Here is a 27545-nt window from a genome sequence, read left to right on the forward strand (position 1 = left end):
ACATGGTACAGCTACAACAGAAGCACAATGCCTGCAGTCCTATTGATTTGAGATGTGACAGAATTTGGGGCGGCCAGAGGAGATGAAAATTGTAGGGGAAAGTTTCACAAAAGAGGGAGCCTCAAAAGAAGGAGCCAACAAATCTATGATAAAATATCTTCAAATCCTTAACTACCTCCAGAAGTGCTCACACAGGAGGGAAAAGCGAAGGAATCCACCAGAAATAAACAGCTGAAAGGCTCAAAGAGGTTAGCAGAGATTATAGAGGAAGGACAGAAGAAAAAATGTGTCTGAAGTTTAAAATTGCCATGTTCAAAGGAGCTTGCTTACTCCAGAGGAGTAACGTTTAAGAATAAGCAGAGGCCACTTGCGCGTGTGACGTCATGGCACCGTGCGTGGCAGCAGCAGCAGCGCAGGTGGCAGGCCCGTGGAGCAGTGCTGGAGGAGGAAGTGGTGAGGTTGTTGCTCCCTCTGCGCCCCGCTGCTGGCTCTTGAACGCAGAGAGGGGCCACAGTCCCTGCGGCTGCATCGCGCTTCCCTGCAGTCCCCTCCATGTTCCCCTGCGCCACTGCTCCCCTTCCTAAGGCTGCCACTTACCCCGGAGTCTATGAAAATAATGGATCCCTCAACCTGGCTCATCAACAGAGCAGATGAACAGACCATTTATCAGCAACTACAAAGAAGCTATTTCTTGTCACAAAAAGGCTGCGGCATATCCTTCAGAAGCCGTGAAGCTGACAGTCTGAGCAGGCTCATTTTTCACTGGAATTGCAAAGGAATAGGAAACAGCGCCTCCTCATCCAAGACAGGTGGAAAAGGGCCCAGCGTGAAAAGACTGAAAGCCCAGCAGAACATAGGATGTAGCTGCCCATCTCACAAACCCTCTGCTGAGGATGCAGAGAGCCAGAGCCCCCTTTCTCAGAAGCACAGCCCTTTCACAGAGAAATGCCTGCCTGAGATTCAAGGGATCTTTGACAGGGATCCAGACACGCTACTATTTTTACTTTAGCAAAAGAGTGAGCCAGCAGAGCCATGTATTAGAAGCAAAGGCCCGAAAGATAAAACAATTATAGAGAAGCAGATTTGAAGAGGCATGTGGAATTCCTTGTGGCTGAGAATGAAAGATTAAGGAAAGAAAATAAACAACTCAAGGCTGAAAAGGGCAGACTTCTAAATGGTCCAATAGAAAAGGAGCTGGATGTAGATGCTGATTTTGTAGAAAAGTCAGAGTTATGGAGCTTGCCGCCACATTCAGAAACTGCTACAGCCTCTTTAACCTGGCAGAAGTTTGCAGCAAATACCAGGAAAGCCAAGGACATTCCAATCCCCAATCTTCCTCCCTTGGATTTTCCATCTCCAGAACTTCCCCTTATGGAGCTGAGGATATTCTGAAAGGATTTATGAATAATTAAAATGGAAGGCCAGAGAAGAGGGGAGAAGAGGAAATAATGCGAAAACAGTTAATCCAGCAAAAAAATTAAAAGGGAAAACCACATAGAAGGGTAATCCCGGAAATGCTTCATCTGGCAGACTGTGGGAGAAGAGGCATTGCCAGGACTTGGCAAACAGTCACTGTGAAATGTATCTGATTCACTGACTCGAGCTAATGATTCCAACTTAGTACACACTAAATTCATGGAGGTTCAGTTTCTCCAGATACAAACCAAATGGCTACATAGAATAATTTTTTCAAGCAACAATTACTTGTCTTGTCTTCAGGGTTAAAATGCATAAAAGTTATGCCAGGCACGGTGGCTCATGCCTGTAATCCCAGCACTTTGAAAGGCCGAGGCGGGTGGATCACCTGAGGTCAGGAGTTCAAGACCAGCCTGGCCAACATGGTGAAACACTATCTCCACAAAAAATACAAAAATTAGCCGGGCATGATGGCAGGTGCCTGAAATCCCAGCTACTCAGGAGGCTGAAGTGAGAGAATCGCTTGAACCCAGGAGGCGGAGGCTGCAGTGAGCCAAGATCATGCCATTCCAACTCCAGCCTGGGTGACAGAGTGAGACTCCATCTCAACACAGTCATTTCTCAAAAGAAAACATTTATGCAGCCAAGAAACATGAAAAAAAGCTCATCATCACTGGTCATTAGAGAAATACAAATCAAAACCACAAAACCATGTGAGAAACCGTCTCACGCCAGCTGGAATGGTGATCGTTAAAAAGCCAGGAAACAGCAGATGCTGGAGAGGATGTGGAGAAATAGGAATACTTTTACGCTGTTGGTGGGAGTGTAAATTAGTTCAACCACTGTGGAAGACAGTGTGGTGATTCCTCAAGGATCTAGAACCAGAAATACCATCTGACCCAGCAATCCCATTACTGGGTATATACCCAAAGGATTATAAATCATGCTACTATAAGGACACATGCACACTTATGTTTACTGCAGCACTGTTCACAATAGCAAAGACTTGGAACCAACCCAAATATCCATCAATGGTAGACGGGATAAAGAAAATGTGGCACATATACACCATGGAATACTATGCAGCCATAAAAAAGGATGAGTTCATGTCCTTTGCAGGGACATGGATGAAGCTGGAAACCATCATTCTCAGTTAACTAACACAGGAACAGAAAACCAAATACCGCATGTTCTCACTCATAAGTGGGAGTTGAACAATGACAACACATGGACACAGGGAGAGGAACATCACACACCGGGGCCTGTCAGGGGATGGGGGCTAGGGAGGGATAGCACTAGAAGTACCTAATGTAGATGATGGGTTGATGAGCACAGCAAAACACCATGGCACATGTATACCTATGTAACAAACCTGCACGTTCTGCACATGTACCCCAGAACTTAAAGTATAATTTAAAAAAAAGTATAAAAGTATGTTATGCATAATTAATCTATAATGCCATAAATGATCATGCAAAACTTAAATAATATGGTGGCCCGAGGGGCTGCCTTGTAATTGAAACATGCTTTCTTTCATGCATTGACTATATGCATTTTGTTAATGTGCATTTTGTTTAAATAAGTTGTGTAAGAGACACACCTTTCTAGATGAAACTATACGTGTGTGCCACACTTTGCACTACTAATGATCACCTCAAGACTATCAGGAGAAATATTTAAATTTCCATTTTATGAAGAAAGGAACCAAATTATTAGTTATGCTTTTTTAAACAAATTACCAGTTTACATAATTAATAAGGGTGCATTTTAAGTTCTAACTTTGTTTATTGTATAATGTACCATTTAAAAATACCAAGGAGGAAATATCCTTTGCTTTTAATGATGCATGAGTGGAAGTAATGCTAGTTGGCAGTATTTGATTGTAAGAAATCAATAAATTGTGATTTAAAACAAATCAGCAAACAACAAAAGGAAAAACTAAAAGGACCCACTTTAACAAGGTGTAAAATCCAGTCTCCACAAATGCAAGATGAACAGTCAATAAAAAAATGTAACTGCCTACTCAAACCAAAACCAACTTTTCAGAGGAAGAATCCGGCATCTCAACAAACTATCAATTCATGTGTCCAGTATACAATCCAACATTACTAGACATGGGAAGAAACAGAAAACTGTGATCCAAAGAAAACAGAAAAACAAACAACAGAAACAGATGCCCAAATGTTAAAATACGCAGTTTAAAAGCAGCTATTATAAATACGTTCAAGGATATTATATGTTCAAGAATATGTTCCAGAACAAATATCCTTGTTCAAAGATACATATTCAAGGATAAATATGTTGTTATAAATGTACTCAAAACAGTCAAGTAAATAGAGAATATCACAAAAATGAAAACTATAGGCCGGGAACGGTGACTCATGCCTGTAAAGCAGCAGTTTGGGAGGCTGAGGCGGGCGGATCACAAGGTCAGGAGATGAGACCATCCTGGCCAACATGGTGAAACCCCATCTCTACTAAAAATACAAAAATCACCCGAGTGTGGTGGCATGTGCCTGTAATCCCAGCTACTTGGGAGGCTGAGGCAGGAGAATCGCTTGAACCCGGGAGGCAGAGGTTGCAGTGAGCTGAGATCGCGCCACTGCACTTCAGCCTGGGTGACTCCGTCTCGAAAAAAAAAAAATAAGAAAAAATAAAACTATAGAAAATGAGAACTCTAGATCTAGACAGTATAAAAAAATTAAAATTCACTGAATGAGATTAACAGCCTATTGAAAATAGCAGAAAAGGTCAGTAAACTTGAAGCCACATGAACAGGCATTCTCCGATATGAAGCACAGAGAGGGGGAAAAAAAAAAGTTTGATGCTTTTTTTTTTTTTGTAAGAGACAGGGTCCTGCTCTGTCACCCACACTGAAATGCAGTGGTATGATCACGGCTCACTGCAGTCTCAACCTCTCAGGCTCAAGGGATCCTCCCACTCAGCCTCCCGAATAGCTGGGACTACAGGCATGCATCACCACACCCAGCTAATTTTTTGTGTTTTTCTAGAGACAGGGTTTCACCAGGTTGCCTAGGCTGGTCTCCAACTCCTGGGCTTCAAGCGATCCACCCACCTCACCCTCCCAAAGTGCTGCAATTACAGGCATGAGCCACCATGCTCACTTAAGCCCAGAAGTTCAACACCAGCCTGGGCAACATGGTGAGACTCCATCTCTACCAAAATACAAAAGTTAGCCAGGTGGGGTGGTGCATGCCTGTAGTCCCTACTACTCAAGAGGCTGAGATGGGAAGATCCCTTTAGCCCAGGAGGCAGAGGTTGCAATGAGCCAAGATCATGCCACTGCACTCTAGCATGGGTGACAGAGTAAGATCGTGTCTCCAAAAAAAAAAACAAACAAACAAACAAACAAAAAAACAGACCAAACTATAAATATAAGTGAACTTAATGTGACAAAACCATCTACAAAAAAAAAAAAAACTATAGAAAACATATTTAATAGTAAAATATTTACTAGATTCCCCGTAAAACTGGGAACAAAGCAAGGACGTCCATTCTCATCCCTGCGACATTATCAGGAAGTCCTAACAAGTGCAATAAAGGTAAGTGGGGGAAAAACACATAAAAGTTATAAAAGAAGAATCTCTTTATTCACAGATGACATGACTGTGTAGAAGGATAATTCTAAGAAATATATAAAACTAGAAAAACTAGTAAGTGAACTAGTAAAACTTAAGTACAAGATCATAGGATACAACGTCAACATACAATTACATTTCTGTATACCAGCAGCAAACAATTTCAACATAAAATTAAGACAATTTCATTAACAGCAGCATCAATACAAAATACATTAACAGCGGCATCAGTACAAAGAGATTGAACAAAAATGTGATAGATCTCTACAGTGAAAGCTGTAAAACACTGCTGAGAAGAAAACCACATGGAGAACAATCATATTTATGGACTGGCAGACTCAGCATAATTAAGATGATCATTTTCTCCAAACTCATCTACAAATTTAACTCAATATCAAAATCCCAACAAGCATGTTTTCTAGAAATTGACAACCTGATTTTAAAAACGTATATGGAAATGCGAACACCCAAAACAAATTCTGAAGAAAAAGTTGGCGAAAGTGTTATCACCTACTTCAAGACTTAATATAAAACTATAATTATCCAGACAGTGTAGTACTGGCATAGGAAATACAAATCACTGAAACAAAACTGAGTCCCAAAACAAACTCATATGTAGCCAACTGATCTCCCACAAAGGCACCACGACTACCTAGAAAAGGAAGTCTTTCCAACAAATGCAGCTAAAACAACTAAATATTCGTATGTAAAAAAAAAAAAGAACCTCAAGTCTTACCTCATCCCACACACCAACACTGTCTCAAGATGAATCAGATTTAAATGCACAGATAAAATTATAAAACTTCTAAAAAAAAAAAAAAAAAGACAATAGGAGAGTATTTCTGTGCCCTTGGGGGCAAGTAAAAGACTTCTAAAATAGGGCCAGGCGCAGTGGCTCACGCTTGTAATCCCAGCACTTTGGGAGGCCAAGGCAGGCGGATCATGAAGTCAGCAGATCGACACCATCCCGGCTAACAGTGAAACCCCGTCTCTACTAAAAATACAAAAAATTAGCCGGGCGCGGTGGCAGGCGCCTGTAGTCCCAGCTACTCAGGAGGCTGAGGCAGGAGAATGGCGTGAACCCAGGAGGCAGAGCTTGCAGTGAGCCGAGACAGTGCCACTGCAATCCGGCCTGGGCAAAACACCCAGACTCTGTCTCCAAAAAAAAAAAAAAAAAAGACTTCTAAAATAGGACCCAAAAAGCTATAAACATTAAAAAAATTTTTTCTTTGATATACTGGACTTCATCAAAATGTAACACTTCTAGGCCAGGCACTGTGGCTCCTGCCTGTAATCCCAGCACTTTGGGAAGCCAAGGCAGGTGGATCACTTGAGGTCAGGAGTTAGAGACCAGCCTGTTCAATAACGGCAAAACCCCGTCTACCCAAAATACAAAAATTAGCCAGGCGTGGTGGCACATGCCTGTAGTCCCAGCTACTCGGGAGGCTGAGGCATGAGAATTGCTTGAACCTGGGAGGCAGAGGTTGTAGTGAGCCAAGATCATGCCAGTGCAGTCTAGCCTGGGCAACAGAGCAAGACTCTATCTCAAAAAAAAAGTTAACACTTATGCTTATCAAAAGACCAGCCATAAACTGGGAGAAAATATTCTTAATACATATATGACAAAAGACTTGCCACCATCATACACCAAGATCTCCTACAAGTCAAAAACAGAAAGACAATCCAATCTTTAGAAATGTGCAAAAGACTTGAACAATCACAGCACAAAATTATACAAATGGTCAATAAGCTCATGAAAAGGTGAGCAACATGAGTCAAGAAATACAAATTAAAACCATAATGAGATAGCATTTCACACCCACTTGGGCAATTAAAATTAAAAACTTACAATACTAAATGTTGACAAGGATGTGGAGCAACGAGAACTCTCATACACTGCTGAGTGTATACACAATGACACAACCACTCCAGAACACTGTTTTACAGTTTCTTATGAATTCAGACTTCTATCTGCCACATTAGTCAGCAATTTCACTCCCAGTATTTACCCAAAAGGAAATGAAAACCTATATCCCCACAGAAAGTGTTTTACATAAAAATTTCACAGTGCCTTCATTCATAATAGCCAAAAACTGAAAACTAACTAGATGTCCACCAAAAGGAGAATTATATGCTCATATAATTCATACAAAGGAATTCTACTCAACAATTAAAAAAAAAGAATTGGCCAGGCACAATGGCTCACACCTGTAATCCCAGCACATTGGGAGGCCAAGGTGGGTGGATCACTTGAGGTCAGGAGTTCAAGACCAGACTGACCAACATGGTGAAACCCCATCACTACTAAATATAAAAAATTAGCCGGATGTGGTGGTGCATGCCTGTAATCCCAGCTCCTTGGGAGGCTGAGGCAGGAGAATCACTGGAACCCAGGGGGTGGAGGTTGCAGTGAGCTGAGACTGCACCACAGCACTCCAGCCTGGGCAACAAGAGTGGAACTCCATCTCCAAAAAAAAGAATTACTGACACATGCATCAATATGGATGAATCTCAAAAAATGAAAAAGACACAAATGAGAACATATTGTATTATTCCTTTTACATGAACTTTGAAAACAAGCAAAAGTAATCTATAGTGACAGAAATCACAGAGGTGGTTGCTGGGGATGGGGGGCAGTATTCATTATGAGGTGACACAAGGGAACTTTATGGGGTGAGGAAAATGTTCTATACCTTCACTCAGGTTTTAGTTAAACCCAGGACAGGGATAGGTCTATAAATTTATCAAACTGATTTTTTTTAAAATATATATAGTTATAAAATAAAAAATATAAGAATAGCTACTTCTGCTCGCTTCTGGTGTCCATTTACATGAAATATATTTTTCCACCCCTTTACCTTAAATTTGAGTCCTTTTGTGTCTGGTGAATCTCTTGAAGACAGCAGATACTTGGTTGATGAGTTCTTATCCATTCTGCTATTCTGTATCTTTAAAGTGGAGCATGTAGGCCATTTACATTCAACATTAGTATTGAGATTTGAGGTACTATTCTATTCATCGTGCTATTTGTTTGCCTGAACACCTTGTTTTTTTTCTTCATTGTGTTATTGTTTTATAGGTCCTGTGTGATTTATGCTTTAAGGAGATACAATTTTGGTATTTTGAGAATTTGTTTCAAGATTTGGAGCTCCTTTTAGCAGTTCTTGTAGTGCTGGCTTGGTAGTGGCAAATTCTCTCAGCACTTGTTTGTGTGAAAAAGACTACTTTCCTTCATTTATGAAGCTCTGTTTCACTGGATACAAAATTACTGGCTGATAACTTAAGGAGGCTCAAGATAGGATCCCAATCCCTTCTAGCTTTTAGAGTTTCTGCTGAGAAATCTGTTAATCTGATAGGTTTTCCTTTATAGGTTACCTGAGGCTTTTGACTCACAGCTCTTAAGATTCTTTCCTTCATCTTGACTTTAGTTAACCTGATGACTATGTGCCTAGGTGATGATCTTTTTGTGATGAATTTCCCAGGTGTTCTTTAAGCTTCTTGTATTTGGATGTCTAGATCTCTAGCAAGGCCGGGGAAGTTTTCCTCAATTAATCCCTCAAATTTGTTTTCCAAACTTTTAGATTCTTCTTCTTCCTTGGGAACACCAATTATTCTTAGGCTTGGTTGTTTAACAAACTTATTGGAGGCTGCGTTCATTTTTTTAAATTCTTTTTTGTCTTTGTCAGATTGGGCTAATTCAAAAGCCTTGTCTTCGAACTCTGAAATTTCTTTCTTCTACTTATTCAATTCTATTGCTGAGACTTTCCAGTGCATTTTGCATGTCTCTAAGTGTGTCCCTTGATTTTCAGAAGTTGTGATTATTTATTTATGCTATTTTCCTGGAAATTTTTCCATTCATATCCTGTATCACTTTTTTTGTTTTGCTAAGTTGGACTTCACCTTTCTCTCGTGCCTCCTTGATTGGCGTAATAATGACCTTGTGAATTCTTTTTCTGGCAATTCAGAGATTTTTGTCTTGGTTTAGATCCATTGCTGGTAAGCTAGTGTGACCTTTTCAGAGTGTCAAAGAACCCTGTTTTGTCATATTACCCCAGTTGTTTTTCCAGTTCCTTCTCATCTGGATAGACTATGTCAGAGGGAAGATCTGGAACTCAAGGGCTGCTGTTCAGATTCTTTTGTCCCACAGGGATGCTCCCTTGATGTGGTGCTCTCCCCTTTCCCCTAGGGATGGGGCTTCCTGAGAGCCAAACTGCAGTGATTGTTATTTCTCTTCTTGATCTAGCCGCCCAGTGGAGATAATCAGGCTCTAAGCTGGTACTGGAGAGTGTCTGCAAAGAGTCCTGTGATGTGATCTGTCTCCAGGTCTCTCAGGCGTGGATACCAGCACTTACTCTGGTGGAGGTAACAGGGGTGTGAAGTAGATTCTGTGAAGGTCCTTGGTTGTATTTTTGTTAAGTGCGCTGGTTTTGTATTGGCTGGCCTCCAGCCAGGAGTTGGCACTTACAAGAGCACATCAGCTACAGTTGTATAAAACTGGATTTTTTTTAACTGAAGATCCATGCATATCATTATATGTTAATTTTATTTCAATAAAAATAAAAAGCATCTTATTACTCATAGACTGATCTCATCTCATTATTTAAACTATATCTCATATACACATTATGTTGAAGATGAGGTTTTGGATCACTGAGGTTTTAAACACAGGCTCTTACCTTGCAAATCCTTGGGGCAGTTCTCCAAGGCCATAGAGTGGATAAAGGTATGGGCTTTTGCCATATCTTGCCAAAGATTCACTGTAAAGTTTAATTCTATTAATGGTTTCATAACACGGTTGATCTAAGTAACTGGAAGAAAGGAAATGAGTATTAGGAAAGGGCTTTAGTTTTCATTCATGGTGTTCAATTTATAATTTTTTTTGAAGCGATTTCAATCCGCTATCTTCTTTTTTGTTTTTTTGTTTTTTGAGACAGGGTCTCACTCTGTCGCCCAGACTGGAGTGCAGTGGTGCAATCTCGGCTCCCCACAACTTCCACCTCCCAGGCTCAAGTGATTCTTCTGCCTCAGCCTCCCAAGTGGCTGGAATTACAGGGACGCACCACTACCGCCCAACTAATTTTTGCATTTTTAGTAGAGAGGGGGTTTCACCATGTTGGCCAGGCTGGTCTTGAACTCCTGACCTCAAATGATCCACCCAACTTGGCCTCCCAAAGTGCTGGGATCACAGGCGTGAGCCACCACACCTGGCCCACTACCTTTATATTTAAATCACTTAAAAGGTCCCAACACTAATTTCAACTAGAACCTCTTCATTCATAGTGCAATATGGCTAAGTATTTGTTTTGTTAGAATTTCCACTTGGAAGACTTGGGAAATTTAGTGAGAATTTCAAGAAAAATACAAATCTAAAAACCAAAATACTTACTCATCAGTTCTGTAAAGTGCAAGAGCATGACCAGTAAAATCTATAACGTCTTGACCCAAATCAAATTTCTTATACACATCTCGCATTGTGGTCTTCTTAGGATCAATGCCTTCAAAAGTTCTTGGATCTTTTTCATCGAAGTTGGCAACATACACTAGGAATTTCCTGAAGCGACGTTTTTCAAACAATCCCATTAGGCCTAAATAAAAAAGAATTTTTCAAAAAGCACACTCACAATCAGACATTGAGGAGAACGAAGTATGAGAGCAAAGTTTAAACATGCCTTGTTATCAACTGCGGAATGCAGGATGCAATTTTTTTTTTTTTTTTTTTTTTTGAGACAGAGTCTTGCTCTGTCGCCTAGACTGGAGTGCAATGACGCAATCTCAGCTCACTGCAACCTCTGCCTCCCGTGTTCAAGCGATTCTCCTGTCTCAGCCTCCCGAGTAGCTGGGATTATAGGCAACCGCCATTACGCCCAGCTAATTTTTGTACTTTTGGTAGAAACAAGGTTTCACCATGTTAGGCTGGTCTCAAACTCCTGACCTCAGGTGATCCGCCCACCACGGCCTCCCAAAGTGCTGAGATTACAGGCATGAGCCACCGCGCCTAAAATGCAGGATGCAATTTAAGATATGGGAGTTTGGACAGCATGGCTTCCAGTTTCACAACACCTTAAACTGACACGATTATAACAGGTTACTTATAAAGTCTTCAATTCTACCATACAATTACAAGTAATTAAAACTACTACTTAACTGAATGAAAAATGTCAAATTATGTTTCTTACTAGGTACAAGGTAAATGTGACTCTGAACAAGTATCCATGAAGCCACCCATCTGAAGAGTCTCCCTTTGACAACTCTGATCTACACTCAGCCAATTGCCTAAATTCTGAATGCTCTTGCTTTTCCGCCTCTGTATGCTAAGATACAACCGGGCACTTAATGATAACAGCTTAAGATAACAAGAACAAATTGACCTCGATAAAATTTCGATGCTGCTGCTACTGCTGCTAGTCACTTATTTTACTGAAGTCCTACATAAGCAACCAATTCGCTGCATTTTACACTAAAAAACAGATGAAGAAGCTACAAATTACCACTTTATAAATCCTCAGCTTTTATTACTAGGCTGTATTTCAACTAATCATAGATGATAGACAAATAGCCAACAAAAAAGAAAATTTTCTGATTTTATCTCCCTTCTCCCCCCATTCCTAAGCTGTACAGCTATTTTTAAAATACAACTACAGTTTTAAAAACAAACTCTCAAATGTTTCTATTGACAGCTTAATGTTTTGATAGATTTAATATTACATCCAAGATCATTTTCCAGCCAACAAAACTGAAAATTAAAACCATGAGGCTGGTCAGGTCGTAGTGGCTCACGCCTATAATCCCAGCACTTTGGAAGGCTGAGGAGGGTGGATCGCTTGAGGTCAGGAGTTCAAGACCAGCCTGACCAACATGGTGAAACCCCATCTCTACTAAAAATACAAAATTAGCTGGGTGTGGTGGCGCACGCCTGTAATCCCAACTACTTGGAAGGCTGGAGCAGGAGAATCGCTTGATAAACCCAGGAGTCAGAGATTGCACTGAGCCGAGATTGCACCATTGTACTCCAGCCTGGGCAACAAGAGTGAGACTCCGTCTCAAAAAAAAAAAAGAAACATGAGGCTATTAATGACAACTGACTACATTTAATTTTTTAAAATTAAGATTTACAATTCAGCCTTTTAAATGGACAGAATGTACACACAGTAAAGGCATAAGGCTGAATAGAAATATCCTATTACCACATCAGCACTATACTTAAGACACAAGTGTAGTTGTAAGAGCTGGGTATAAGACAGGCAAAAGGAAACATGAATCACTATTTCAATGCACTTAAAACTTAGGTATCATATTCCGGTCGGCACAGCCTGTCAGAACTTAAAGCTATTACTAACAGTTATTTTGGAGTATCTCCCAACTTTTGTTTATTTAATAGAAACCTGAGTTGCTGTTACCAACTTTTGTTTTAATCAAAATAAAAATCTATCATGTTTCCTTCTCTTTCCTCTCCTTTATTTTCCTCCATTACCTGATCCTTACCCAGAGAGGGATAGAAATCAGTGCCACTCCTGTTTTACACAGCACAGTAGAGACGTCCTGGCTGTTTTTCCATCCCTTAATTCCATGTTGCTATGCATGGCGCCAAATAGTGATCTCAATGACTAGCTGTTAACAGCATGAGAACCAGATATAATTGTATTACAAATACTTCAAACACCCAGTGCTCATTCTGAAAAACTCCTAATTGAAAAAGTTCAAATCAATAACGTGTTTCCTACTGTGTTTTTTTTTTTTCCATAGAAACAAGGTCTCGCCATGTTGCCCAGGCTGGTCTCAAACTCCCAGGCTCCTAAAGTGTGGAATCACAGGTGTGAGCCACTGCACCTAGTCCCTACTAGGTAGATAATTTTTTACAACTACTATTTATCTATGCTGATGCCTTCCCAGATCACTTTATTTAAAGCGTCCTTCTCACACTCCCTCCTTCCTCTTTCCCCCACAGCAATGGATCACCATGGGATATGCCTTTCTGTATTTACAGTTGTCCCTTGAATAACACATCTGAACTGCCACTTTTTATGTAGATCAGAGGTGTCCAATTTTTTGGCTTCCCTGGGCCACGTTGGAAGAAAAAGAATTGCCTTGGGCCACACATAAAATACACTAACGATAGCTAATGAGCTTTAAAAAAATTGTGAAAAAAAATCTCATGTTTTAAGAAAGTTAACAAATTTCTGTTGGGCTGCATTCAAAGCTACCCTGGACCACATGCAGCCCATAGGCCACAGACAGGACAAGCTTGATGTAGATTTTTTCTTGTCAATAAATGTACTGAAAAAATTTTTGGAGGTTTGCATGTTTTTTTTTTTTTAAAAGGAGTCTCACTCTGTCGCCCAGGCTAGAGTGCGCAGTGGCGCGATTTCGGCTCACTGCAACCTCTGCCCCTGAGGTTCAAGCAATACTCCCACCTAAGCATCCCGAGTAGCTAGGATTAAAGGCATGCACCATCAGACCTGGCTAATTTTTTTTTGTATTTTTAGTAGAGATGGGGTTTCACCATGTTGGACAGGCTGGTGTCAAACTCCTGACCTCAAGTGATCCGCCTGCCTCAGCCTCCCAAAGTGCTGGGATGACAGGCATGAGCCACTATGCCCAGCCAGGTTTGTTTTTTCTTTCAGTTCTACGTTTTATTTTACTTGATTTTTTTTTTTTCCTTTTTGAGATGAGATCTCTGTCACCCAGACTAGAGTGCAGTGGCGCAACCACAGCTCACTGCAGCCACCAACTTCCTGGGCTCAAGCAATCTTCCTGCATCAGCCTCCTGAGTAGCTGGGACTACAGGGTATTCAGCTAATTTTTCTTCTATTTCTTGTAGATACAGGGGTCTTACTATGTTGCCCAGGCTGATCTCGAACTCTCGGGCTCAAGTGATCCACCCACCTCAACCTCCCAAAGTGCTAGGATTACAGCCATGAGCCACAGTAGCCGGCCAAATGATTTTTTTTTTAAGAGATAGGGTCTTGCTATATAAGGATATATCGTCCAGGCTAGAGGTGCAGTGACTATTCCCAGGTGTGAACATAGCACAGTACAGCCTCAAATGCCTGGGTTCAAGCAATCCTCCTGCCTTGGCCTACCAAGTGGCTAGGATTACAGGTGCACAGCAACATGCCCAGCAGATTTGTGACAATTTGAAAAAACTTGCAGATGAACCGCATAGCCTAGAAATACCAAAAAAATTAGAAAAAAGTTATGTATGTCATGAATGCTAAAATATATGTAGATATTATTTACTATCATAAATATATGCAATTCTATTTCAAAGTTAAAATTTAATCACAAAACTTAGGCACACAAACACAGACCATACACGGTGCCACTGTAAACAAAGAAAGATGTAGTATTAAGTCTTAACTGCGTAAGATTAACTGCAGTACATACTGTACTACTGTAATAACTCTGGAGCCACCTTTTGTTGCTAATGTGGTGAGCTCAAGTGTTTGAATATCTTAAAACTCTATGTGACAATAATCATCTCTGCATGAGCAGTTCACCTCTCCAGTAAATTATCTGTCACAGTAAAAAGTGATCTCTCCTTGTTCTCACATATTTTTCATCGTGTTTAGTGCAACACCATAAACACTGAGTAAAACGTAGGACCCACAGGGAATGCCACTGATGCTGGAAGTGCTCCCAAGAAGCAAAGTCATGACATTACAAGAAAAAGTTGAATTCCTTGAAACGTACCAACTGACTTCAGGTCTGCGGCTGCAGTTGCCCGCCATTTCAGACAGACAATTCATCTCATACACATACAACCTAAACTTTTGGTACCAATAAGTCCAGTATGGTACTGTAAATGTACTTTCTCTTCCTTATCATCTTCTTAAGGGCACTGTCTTTTCTATAGCTTACTTGATTGTAAGAACACAGTATATAATACATTATCACAAGGCCAGGTGCGGTGGCTCACACCTGTAATCCCAGCACGTTGGGAGAACGAGGCAGGTGGATCACCTGAAATCAGAAGTTCAAGACCAGCCTGACCAACACGGTAAAACCCTATCTCTATTAAAAATACAAAAAATTAGCCAGGTGTGGTGGTGCATGCCTGTTATCCCAGATACTTGGGGAGGCTGAGGCAGGAGAATCGCTTGAACTTGGGAGGTGGAAGTTGCAGTGAGCCAAGATTACACCATTGAACTCCAGCCTGGGCAACAAGAGCAAAGCTCAGTCTCAAAAAACAAAAAAAAATCACATACAAAATAAATGTTAATCAACTACTTAGCTATTTATGTTATCCGTATGGCCTCCATTCAACAACAGGCTATTAGTAGTTTCAGAAGTGTCAAAAGTCTTGAAGTCTTAATCTCTGAAAGTGATCTAAGAGGGTTAAAACTCACTTCTTCCAAACTCTTTTTAATGTTGGTATTTTGACCTCCTCCCATGAATTATAAATGTTCTTGGCTGGGTGCAGTGGCTCACGCCTGTAGTGCTAAGACTTTGGGACACTGAGGAGAGATGACTGCTTGAGCCCAGGAATTCAAGACCAGCCTAGACAATTATAGCAAGACCCCATTTATACAAAAAATTTAAAAAATTATACCACTATAGGCATGCATGGTGGGATATGCCTCTTTTGGGAGGCTGAGGAGAGGTAACTGCTTGAGTCCGGGAGTTCAAGACCAACCTGGGCAGCATAGCAAGACCTCACTTCTACAAAAAATTTTTTAAATTGCACCATTATAGGCATGTGTATCCCTATAGTCCCAGCTACTCAGGAGGCTAAGGCAGGAGGATCACTTGAGCCCAGGAGGTCAAGGCTACATTGAGCCGTGATCATGCCACTGCACTCCAGCCAGAGCAAGAGTGAGACCCTGTTTCAAAAAAATAAATACATAAAATAATAAATGTTCTGGGGCCGGGCACAGTGGCTCACACCTGTAACCCCAGCACTTTGGGAGGCCAAGGTGGGCAGATCACTTGAGGCTAGGAGTTTAAGACCAGCCTGGCCAACATGGCGAAACCCGGTCTCTACTAAAACATACAAAAATTATGGCCAGGCACAGTGGTTCACGCCTGTAACCCCAGGTCTTTGGGAGGCCAAGGCGGACGGATCATCTGAGGTCGGGAGTTTGAGACCAGCCTGACCAACATGGAGAAACCCCGTCTCTACTAAAAATACAAAATTAGCCAGGCGTGGTGGTGCATGCCTGTAATCCCAACTACTCGGGAGGCTGAGACAGGAGAATTGCTTGAACCCAGGAGGCGGAGGTTGCAGTGAGCGCACCATTGCACTCCAGCCTGGGCAACAAGAGCGAAACTCCGTCTCAAAAAAAAAGAAAAAAAAAAAAAAAATAAGCCAGGTGTGGTGGCGTGCGCCTGTAATCCCAGCTATTCAGGAGGCTGAGGCAGGAGAATTGCTTCAACTCAGGAGACAGAGGTTGCAGTGAGCCAAAATTGTGCCACCGCACTCTAGCCTGGGGGACAAAGAAAAAAACAGTCCTGTTTACACTGAATGAGCAGAAAACATCTGGGATACTGTCTCTGGTCTGGCTGCCATATTATATATAGGATCTTGACTAATTAGAGAATTTCCAAGGAGTGGCCAAGAGATCTAGATAGCATATTATATGAGAAACAACTAAGGAGACTCAAGTATTTACTTTGGAAAAAAAAGAATTAGAAGGTATGTAATCATTGTTAAAATATCTAAAAAGCAATATATTAATAGCTTTATATACCGTAAGAATATAGTATTTCTTGTGGTTAAGAGTGTGGGATTCTAAAGTCAGACAGACCTGGCTCCAAACCAGTTACTAGCTATACTACTTTGTGCTTTCCTTTTATACCTCAGCTTTCCCATCTGTAAAATAAAAAATAGTAATAGCACCTGCATCTCACACGATTGCAGTGAAGAACTATGTAAAGTTAGATAATACACATGAAGTACTTAATACATATATGCCTAGCATGTAAGTGCTCAAAAAACTGAGTTCTTATTAAAATTATAAAACAACTGGTACTTATCCACCCATCTCTTGAACTTTGCCACCTCTCCACCTTTCCTTACCCCATTCCTTCATTCTGCCTAGAATTTTCTTGCCTGCAACTCAAGATTTCAAAATCCTTTCCATTAATATAAGGAGATGCTGATAAGGTAGTGATTTGGTCAAAATGCATAAAAGTGTTTACTAAAACAAGTGATTTCTACTGTACATAAATTATACCTCAATAAACCTAGCCTTAAAAATATATACAGAAGCATATGCGCTTATTCAAAAAAAAAAAAAACAGAAGAAGGATAAGCCAGAAAATGATTACCTAACAGGTCAGAAAGAATGGAAGTAGAAAAGTAAGAATGAGACCAAGACTCGAAATATACCTTTTAACTTTCAAGCTCTGTAAATGTTTTATATATCTGAAAAAATCAGAGAAAATAAAACTGCCAAACGATAATTTCTATTAGATGAAGGAGGTAACTGAAGCTTTAATATAAGTAAGAGCTCCAAGAAAGAAAATGTAAAAGAAAGAACCCACGACCTTTGTCCAAAAAAAAAAAAAAAAAAAATTCTATTTCTTATTTTTATCTAAAAAAAATTTTGAGACAGGGTCCCCCTCTGTCACCCAGGTTGGAGCGCAGTGATGCAATCACAGCTCACTGCAGCTTTGATTTCCTGGACTCAAGCGATCCTCCTGCCTCAGCCTCCACAATACCTGGGACTACAGTAATGTACCACCACATCTGGCTAATTTTCTTATTTTTTGAAGAGACAGGGTCCTGCTATGTTGCCCAGGCTGGTCTTCAACTCCTGGCCTAAATCAATCCTCCTACCACGGCTTCCCAAAGCAATGGGATCACAAGCGTGAGCCACCACACCACACCACTGTTAAAAAGGATTCTATTCAAACTCAAACTCCTACTTCTATGAAGATACTTTATTTGGATTAAATTTTCATAGTCATTTAAAAGATTTAAAATAATTTCGAACCCATGATTACACTACTAACTACCCGCAACTGAATGAGAAACTGTTCCTTCCCTTCCCCAATTATCAGTCCTAACCTAGCCCTGATTCTTTGCAGTATTTTTTACTTTCTGGCTATGTCTTTAATATTTTATACCCAATATTTTCTCCCCTAATCAGAAGTTAATAGAGGAAACTGCCAAAATAATTCAAATTAGGTTTACAGATGAGAAAACTTTTCAGCGCTGATGCCAAAATAATTATGAGAGAACTTATGAGCACTTTCCCTCTTCTAAGCTCCTAGAGCCCTCACCTACCCTTAGTTATACAAATTTATCCTTCTCCAAACTGCTCCATACAAGGACTAAAACATCTTGAAGAACAAAAAGGTCTTTTCTGGACTGTTTGCTATTTAAGAGAGACGCTGAAATAGGAAATGTTAACCAGAACTCTTTGGTGAGGCAACAGAGGAAATAATGTTGGGCAGAGAATAAGATCACTCCAAGGCTGGGCGCGGTGGCTCATGCCTGTAATCTCAGCACTTTGGGAGGCCAAGGCAGGTGAAACACCTGAGGTCAGGAGTTCAAGACCAGCCTGGCCAACATGGTGAAACACCATCTCTACTAAAAATACAAAAATTAGCCGGGCGTGTTGGTACATGCCTATAGTCCCAGCTACTCAGGAGGCTGAGGCAGGAGAATCGCTTGAACCTGGGAGGTAGAGGTTGCAGTGAGCCTCTGAGATCGCGCCATCACACTCCAGCCTGGGTGACAGAGCGAGACTCTGTCTTTAAAAGAAAAAAAAAAAAAAAAATATATATATATATATATATATATATATATATATATATATATATAAAACTCACCAGGAGTTCCTAAAATCAAAGATATTGGGAATTACTAACAAGACCAATTAGAAGATGAGCATCATCAGAATGAGTACTTCTCCTGTTGGCACGTTGGGTAATATAGCGTAGGGTAAGCTTAGTAACATGATTAAGCACCAGGGCTCTGGAGCCACACTACCAGCATTTCACTTCCAACCCAGCTACTTATCCCAGCTACTTATTACGTATGCAATTTTAGGCCTGAGTTTCATCACCTATAAAATGGAGACCCTATGTCATAGAGATGTTTCAGAAGTCAAATAAGAAAACAATATGGAGTGTTCAGTACAGAGCCTTTAGACACAGGAAATACTCAACAGAAAGCATAGCTATTATGAATTACTGTGAAAAGAACACTATTAACCCTAGATAAGCTCAGATCCACCAGCCACAAGGTACATGATCTATAGATGATCATTTAAACTCTAAGCTTCAAACGGGTAGGAATTTTTGAACATTTTGTTCACTGATGTGTTCCCAACTGCCTAGAACAGTGTCTGGCACATGATAGACATTCAATAAATATTTGTTGACTGGGTCCTCTCTAAGACTCTTTTCCAGTATAAAATCTCATTATTCTGAGAAAATAAAACTAGTTACTAGAGAAAATAAAACTACTTACTAGATGCCAGGGCTTCTGCTTCAGTGGAAGGAACCTTGTAGATTTTTCCACCCTTATAGACAAAGCTCCCTTCAGTCACTTTAAAATCCAGATAGCGAGTTACCTCTGTATAAAGCAGCATCTTAACCAGCTGACCTAGAAAAGTCACATAATTCAAACTATAACTTAAGTCTATAAATTATAAAGAACATTTACTAATACTAACAGCTTCTAAAATTTTTTCTAACGATGTTCAATAACTCCAACAAAATAATTTTTTTTTGAGACACAGTCTCCCTCTGTTGCCCAGGCTACAGTGCAGTGGCACAATCACGAGCTCACTGCAACCTCAGCCTCCTGGGCTCATGCAAGCTTCCAGCCTGACGCTCCTGAGTACCTGGCACTACTATGCCTGGCTAATTTTTTTTTGTATTGTTTTGTAGAGACAGGGTTTTGCCATGTTGCCCAGGCTGGTCTCAAACTCCTAAGCTCAAACAATCCACCCACCTTGGCCTCCCAAGTGCTGGGATTATAGGCACGAGGCACCGCGCCTGGCCCAAAATAACCTCCAAAGCTGTATTTTAAATAGGACAACCAGAATGCAAACTTATTGCACTGCATATTACACGTTTTTGTTATTTTTTATCTTTTTTTCCTATTCAAGGTTGAATACATAGGTTTTTTTAATGTTACAACTTAAAGGTTAATAATTCTATCAACTTGCTTTTGCAAAAGCAATGAAAAATTTATTAGAGATATGAGGTTTGGAATTATAGTATTATTGGCCAGGCACAGGTGGCTCACACCTGTAATCCCAGCACTTTGGGAGGCCAAGGAGGGAGGATTGTTTGAGCCCAAGAGTCCAAGACCAACCCACACAACACAGTGAGACCTCATCTCTACCATAACACAAAAAAATTAGCCAGGTGTGGTGGAACACCCAGGTGTGGTGGGACACTGAAGTGAGAGGATCACTTGAACCTAGAAGTCAAGGCTTCAGTAAGCTATGATTGCATTACTACACTCCAGCCTGGGTGACAGAGTGAAACCCCTGTCTCTAAAAAAAATTAATAAAAACAAACAATAGAATATAAACTCAAACAAGGAAAAAGGATAGCAGATGCTTTATTTCATGTGCACAAACAGACCTATAACCAAAAATTTAGTTTTTCAATGTCATCTCAGAAAAAAGTACTAATATTACAGCAATTTAAAAAAATACTTAGCCTGTAATCACAGTACTTGGGAGGCTGAGGCGAGCAGGTCACTTGATGTCAGGAGTTCAAGACCAGCCTGGCCAACATGGTAAAACCCTGTCTGTACTAAAAATACAAAAATTAGCTGGGCGTGGTGGCACGCACCTGTAATCCCAGCTACTTGGGAGGCTGAGGCAGGAGAATTGCTTGAACCAGAAGGCGGAGGTTGTAGTGAGCCAAGATCATGCCACTGCACTCCAGCCTGGGTGACAGAGCGAGACTCCGTCTCAAAAAAAAAAAAAGAAAAAGAAAACTTAGATCCTCTAAAATTAAAAAAATGTGAAAATTTTAAAACCCTACAAACTAGAAAAACATTAAAATAATGCTGTTTCAAAAGGCCCAGTTATTTAAGACTGTCATAAGCATCAACAGGTAAGTCTGTGCCAAAGGCTTACAATCTTGTTATGTATTATGCCACAGCATCATTTGTTTCTCCAGAACCAATTACTAGTAAGTCACAACCCCTTCCTTCCTTTCCTAACTTATTGACTCCAGACATCTAATGGACCATGTTACTCACCATGCTGTTTCATTCAACAAAATCCAGTTCCTCATACCCAGAATAGTACTCTGTCAAAAGTTAGTTTTGATATTAAAATTGTAATCAAAGTACTGTCATAAATTTAAGTTAGAAATTCTTTACCATTAGCCATAAGGAACTTGGGAATCAAGTCAACATTCCAGTCTCTTCCTCTCCCCATTGACTCGGGTGGTGATCCTGGTATTTTAAATCTTTTGTATAACTAAAAGCAAGGAAAAACATAGCCATAATGTTAACAAAATTTAATTTTTTATTACAATATGTACATATTTTTTATTAAGTGCTTTTAGTATAACTAAACACCACCATGCTAGTAAAGTATAAGGGCATTTCATCTTTTATCAGATAAAATTTTTAGCAAGGTCCAATATATATGTAAATTAATTACTAAACTCATAAATGTTAAAATTAACAAATATGGCAGAAGTAAGGTTTTTCACTAGCAGAAAAGAAAGAATATAAAACAAGGCCAGACGCAATGGCTCATGCCTGTAATCCCAGCACTTTGTAATCCATGAGGCGGGTGGATCCCTTGAGGTCAGGAGTTTGAGACCAGCCTGACCAACATAGTGAAACCCCGTCTCTACTAAAAATACAAAAATTGGCCAAGCATGGTGGCTCATGCCTGTAATCCCAAACACTTTGGGAGGCCGAGGCGGGTGGATCAGGAGGTCAGGAGTACAAGAAAAGCCAGGCCAAGATGGTGAAACCCCATCTCTACTGAAAATACAAAAATTAGCCAGGTATGGTGGCAGATGCCTGTAATCCCAGCTACTCGGGAGGCTGAGGCAGGAGAATCGTTTCAACATGCGAGGCAGAGGTTGCAGTGAGCCGAGATAGCGTGACTGCACTCCAGCCTAGTGACAGAGTGAGACTCCATCTCAAAAAAAAAAAAAAAAAAAAAAAAATTAGCGGGGTGTGGTGTGTGCCTGTAAGCCCAGCTACTCGAGAGGCTGAGGCAGGAGAATCACATGAATCTGGGAGGTGGAGAATCACATGAATCTGGGAGGTGGAGGTTGCAGTGAGCTGGGATGGCACCACTGTACTCCAGCCTGAGTGACAAAGCAAGACTCCATCTCAAGAAATAAATAAATAAAACAAGATTATTTGTCAATGACACTGTATAGTTCTCTATACGGACTGTATATGCAGAACTAGGGTGTCACTGACAAATAGCAATCATCTAAATTCATTCTCTCCCAAATAAAAAGCTATCAAAGGCTTAATTTTGCTTTTGTATTATGTAAGGAATTCAAAATAAACCTTAGATTCTTCCTAATCAGAAAAGATAATTAAAATTAGTTCTAGTTCATTTATAATTTTTGAGCTTTACTGAGGTATAACTGATACATAAAGAACTGCCTACTTCCTGCATACATTTTGGTGAGTCTAGACACAAGGTACACCCATAACATCACCATAAGGTACCAATCATATCCATCACCTCCAAAATTGTCCTTTTGTTCTTTTATGATGTTTTGTGGTAAGAATACTCAAATTAATTTATAATTCACATGAATTGAAATGAAGCTCAGATTTCAAAAAGCTTATAAAGTTAGAGAACAGTCACTTGAGCTCATGAATCCTACTGCTAAGGTGGAAAAGAATAAGCAAAATTAGTAAGTATTTATTCAATAAAAATTCTGGCTGGGTGCGGTGGCTCATGCCTGTAATTCCAGCACTTTGTGAGGCCAAGGCAGGCAGATCACCTGAGACCAGGAGATCGAGACCAGCCTGATCAACATGGTGAAACCCCACCTCTACCAGAAATACAAAAAATTAGCCAGACGTGATGATGTACGCCTGTAATTCCAGCTACTCGGGAGGCTGAGGCACGAGAATCGTTTGAGCCTAGGAGGTGGAGGTTGCACTGAGCTAAGATCGTGCCACTGCACTGCAGCCTGGGTGACAGAGAAAGACTCCATCTCAAAAAAAAAAAAAAGAAAAAATTCATGACTCCCTCAATACATCTGGGGAGAAAAAAAAGAAAAGAAATCTTACTCATTGTATTGAAGATCAGCTAAGAAATATACTAGGCCAGGCACAGAGGCTCACACCTGTAACCGCAGCACTTTGGAAGGCCAAGGCAGGCAGATCATTTGAGGAGTTCGAGACCAGCATGGCCAACAAGAAGAAATCCCCATCTCTACTAAAAATACAAAAAATTAGCCAGGCATGGTGGTCCACACCTGTAATCCCAGCTACTCAGAAGGCTGAGCATGAAAATCACTTGAACCCAAGAGATGGAGGTTGCAGTGAGCCGAGACTGCACCACTACACATCAGCTTGGACAACAGAGCAAGACTGTCTCAAAAAAATAAAAATAAAAATAAAATAAAACAAAATTAAGAAAAGAAAAAAATTGTGAGGAGATTTGTAGATTAAGAAAATAAAGAGGTGCCCAGGCATGGTGGCTCTCACCTATAATCCCAACACTTTGGGAAACCAAGGTAGGAGGATCACTTGAGGCCAGGAGTTTGAGACCAGCCTGGGCAACACAGAGAGACCCCATCTCTACAAAAAATAAAATAAGCCAGGCAGGTGGTATGCATCTTTAGCCCCGCTACTTAGGAGGCTGATACAGGAGGATCGTTTGAGCCCAGGAGTTCAAGGCTACAGCAAGCTACGATCGCACTGCTGCACTTCAGCCTGGGCAACAGGGCAAGGCCCTGTCTCTTAAAAACAAACAACAACAACAAAGAATAAAGCGCTCGGGCGTGGTGGCTCATGCCTGTAATCCCAGCAGTTTGGGAGGCCAAGGCAGACAGATCACATGAGGTCAGGGGTTCCAGACCAGCCTGGCCATCATGGTGGAACCCCGTCTCTACTAAAAATACAAAAATTAGCCAGGCATGGTGGTGCACGCCTTTAATCCCAGCTACTTGGGAGGCTGAGGCAGAAGAATCACCTGAACCCAGAAGGTGGAAGCCATAGGGAGGCGAGACTGTGCCACTGCACTCCAGCCTGGGCGGCAGAGCAAGATTCTGTCTCCAGAAAAATAAATAAGAGAATAAAGAGAAAATTATACCAAATACAAACAGCTACGTAAGAGATTACTGGGACCACTGGGAAATTTGAATATGGTTCTGGATATGATATAATGGTATTATGCTTATGCAGGAGAATGTTATTCTTAGCAGATGAATGCTGAAATATTTTGCTCAAGCCTCATGATGTCTTATCACTTTCAATGGATCAAAACCAGTAACAAAAAAAGAGACATGAAAAAAATACAGCAAACTTTAACTGCTGAACTCTGATGGAAGATTTTTTTATACATCGTATTATTCTTTAAACTTTTCAGTATTACTGAATATAGAAAAAAATCCTTTTTGGTAAGTATTGTCTAATAAGTCACTGATTAAAGTCATTGATGATATCTATCTCCCATAAGACACAGTACACATCATATCCATATACGTAGGTGTTCAACAAACCTCACGCAGAAAAACAATCAATATATTAAAACACACTGTGGAAATGCTATGTGTCCACGTTCAAAAAAAGTAGGAAACAAGGCAGTATAGCAAAAGGAACTAAGCTTTGTAGTCATGTAACTTGGGTTTACAACCCATCTCAGATTTTAACCCCACAGAGACTATGTTAAATGGAGATTAAAAAAAAAATCTTTGAGGGACTGAGAAAATAAATAAAGCCATGAGGAAAGCACTGGACTTGCGCTGGCACATCAGACGATCCTCTACCCTCCCTTCCTAGACTATTCTCTGTTAATGCTAAGAGATAACTGCTCCACATAGCAACAAAAGTCAAAATGTAAATTTCTATGAGCTTCAAACCAGAAGCTCCTGAAAAACAGTGCTCCAGATATTCCATTTAACAAAACAAAATTAAGACCATCTCTAAGGAATAAGGTAGAGATTCACAAGTGAAATACTCACAAAGTGTGAGAGGCGTATGAAATTTGACTAACACTTACATCTTCCAATGGTGTTATAGATGCACTCTCTCCTCCGTAGTAAGGGTTTCGATCCATATGAAGAACTTTCTTGCCATTCACTGACATTATACCTGACAGGATACATTCCTATAGAAAAAGCATAGTACCTTGAAAAGAAAGTTCTACAGCATATTTAAAACAGATCATTTTTTTCAAGCCTGCCATTACACATTCTCTTAGTAATTACACTTATATTCATGCAACATGACATAATTTATGAAGAAAGCCCTTAAGAAACCAGGGGTCCAGGTGTGGTCTGTGGGCTCCTATGCATCCCAAGATTAAAACTGTTTCATAATAACACTAAGACATTAGTCACCTTTTAATTTTTTTTTTTTATTTATTTTTTGAGATAGAGTTTCACTCTTCTTGCCCAGGCAGGAGTGCAATGGCGCAATCTCAGCTCATTGCAACCTCTACCTCCAAGGATTCAAGCAGTTCTCCTGCCTCAGCCTCTTGAGTAAGTGGGATTACAGGTGCCCGCCACCACACCCGGCTAATTTTTTGTATTTTTAGCAGAGACAGGGTTTCACCATGTTGGCCAGGCTGGTCTTGAACTCCTGACCTCAGGTGATCCTCCCGCCTCAGCCTCCCAAAGTGCTGGGATTACAGGCGTAAGCCATCGTGCCCAGCCTAGTCACCTTTTCAGTGTTGACACTTCCACTGATGATGTAAAATCAATGGTGGATAAAACAAATTAAGACAGGGCTCTAAACTATACTAGTCATCATTACAGTCTTCATCGCCAGGCATTCATTTAAGGATGTCCTTGATAGGGTGGGCACAGTGGCTCACGCCTGTAATCCCCAGCACTTTGGGAAGCCAGGGGAGGTGGATCACCTGAGGTCAGAAGAGCAAGACCAGCCTCACCAACATGGAGAAACCACATCTCTAGTAAAAATACAAAATTAGCCGGGCATGGTGGCACATGCCTGTAATCCTAGCTATTCAAGAGGCCAAGGCAGGTGAATTGCTTGAACCTGGGAGGCAGAGGTTGTGGTGAACCAAGATCACACCACTGCACTCCAGCCTGGGCAACAAGAGCTAAACTCCATCTCAAGAACAAAAAAAAGGATGTCCTTGATAAAAGCATTAAAAAGTAACTTTATTGGCCAGGCATGGTGGCTCACACCTGCAATCCCAGCACTTCGGGAGGCCGAGGTGGGTGTAATGCTTGAACCCAGGAATTTCAGACCAGCCTGGGCAATACGGTGAAACCCTGTCTCTACTAAATACACAAAAATTAGCAGGGCATGGTGGTGCATGCCTGTAATTCCAGCAACTCAGGAGGCTGAGGCAGAACTGCTTGAACCCAGGAGGCAGAGGCTGCTGTGAGCTGAGACCACGCCACTGCACTCCAGCCTGGGTGACAGAGCAAGACTGAGTAGCAAAAAGAATTAATAAAGTTATTTAATAAACATATACCCTTCAATAGTCATCTTTTAAACATTGTGTGTGAAAAAATGGGAAGAATACAGACAGCACTTCAGCTCAGGGAAAACCTGTGCCACTGATCTGTAAGCTGAACTAGCCGCTTTTTTTTATGAATAATCATTTTTATTTGAAAGAACTGACCAACAAACTATGATTATTCAGATTTAGGTATTTGACATTTTCTCAAAGAAAACCTAAAGGAAAATAACTGACACGTGCTGCCAATAAGTCAAATTTTAAATGAAAATTAGAATTACCGAAAACTTGGCCGGGCACAGCTGCTCACACCTGTAATCCAAGCACTTTGAGAGGCCGAGGCGGGTGGATCACAAGGTCAGGAGATTGAGACCATCCTGGCCAACATGGTGAAACCCCATCTCTACTAAAAATACAAAACTTAGCTGGGCATGGTGGCGCATGCCTGTAATCCCAGCTACTCGGGAGGCTGAGGCAGGAGAATCGCTTGAACCAGGGAGTTGGAGGCTGCAGTGAGCCGAGATCGCGCCACTGCACTCCAGCCTGGTGTCAGAGCAAGACTCCATCTCAAAAAAAAAAAAAGAATTATGGAAAACTTACAACTACCACCATGGGCACACGTCAGGTTCCCCAATACATGAAGAACTTTTCTAACATTATCAGTGACAATACTAACAAATATGATGTTTTGATAATGTAAAATGAAACATGTCAACATTAAGACCCACTTTACTCAGAGTAAACCTTGTTTTCCAAATAACGGGTGAATGAAATTACAAAATCACACAGGAGGAAAAAAGAGGAATTCAAAGTGCAAGCTAGATCAGTGGGTGTTAATATATCAGAATATAAAACATTCATTAATGTGGCTTCAGATTTCATACTGCTATCTCTTAAAAACTACCACTTGTGCTTTTGTGTAAACCAAAGAATATCTACAATAACCTGAAAGGCTATATTTAAATTA

At 40.7% G+C, this 27545-nt stretch overlaps 1 protein-coding gene and 1 pseudogene across 2 annotated transcripts in view, besides 1 other annotated feature; one reads left to right on the forward strand and one right to left on the reverse strand.

The window, feature by feature from the left end:
* GDI2 (GDP dissociation inhibitor 2) overlaps positions 1–27545 on the reverse strand; it is a 48212-nt gene that overhangs the window by 10228 nt on the left and 10439 nt on the right. Inside the window, exons 2-6 of one of the 2 annotated variants that reach the window (NM_001494.4) lie at positions 25148–25255; positions 21313–21412; positions 19435–19569; positions 10402–10600; positions 9692–9823 (exon numbers count right to left, since the gene is read on the reverse strand). In NM_001494.4, the coding sequence (NP_001485.2) occupies positions 9692–9823; positions 10402–10600; positions 19435–19569; positions 21313–21412; positions 25148–25255 (674 nt within the window). The remainder of the gene's footprint in view (positions 1–9691; positions 9824–10401; positions 10601–19434; positions 19570–21312; positions 21413–25147; positions 25256–27545) is intronic. The other variant, NM_001115156.2, reaches the window with a different exon arrangement.
* Positions 465–3324, forward strand: NRBF2P5 (nuclear receptor binding factor 2 pseudogene 5; annotated as a pseudogene).
* Positions 6883–7083: a silencer, noted in NCBI's record as "peak855 fragment used in MPRA reporter construct". NCBI's record gives its function as "represses an SCP1 promoter by STARR-seq MPRAs in K562 erythroleukemia cells {active_cell/tissue: K562}" and the evidence as "EXISTENCE:reporter gene assay evidence [ECO:0000049][PMID:32103011]".

This window comes from Homo sapiens, chromosome 10 (genome assembly GCF_000001405.40).
Source record: "Homo sapiens chromosome 10, GRCh38.p14 Primary Assembly".
In the NCBI taxonomy this organism is placed as follows: Eukaryota; Metazoa; Chordata; class Mammalia; order Primates; family Hominidae; genus Homo; species Homo sapiens.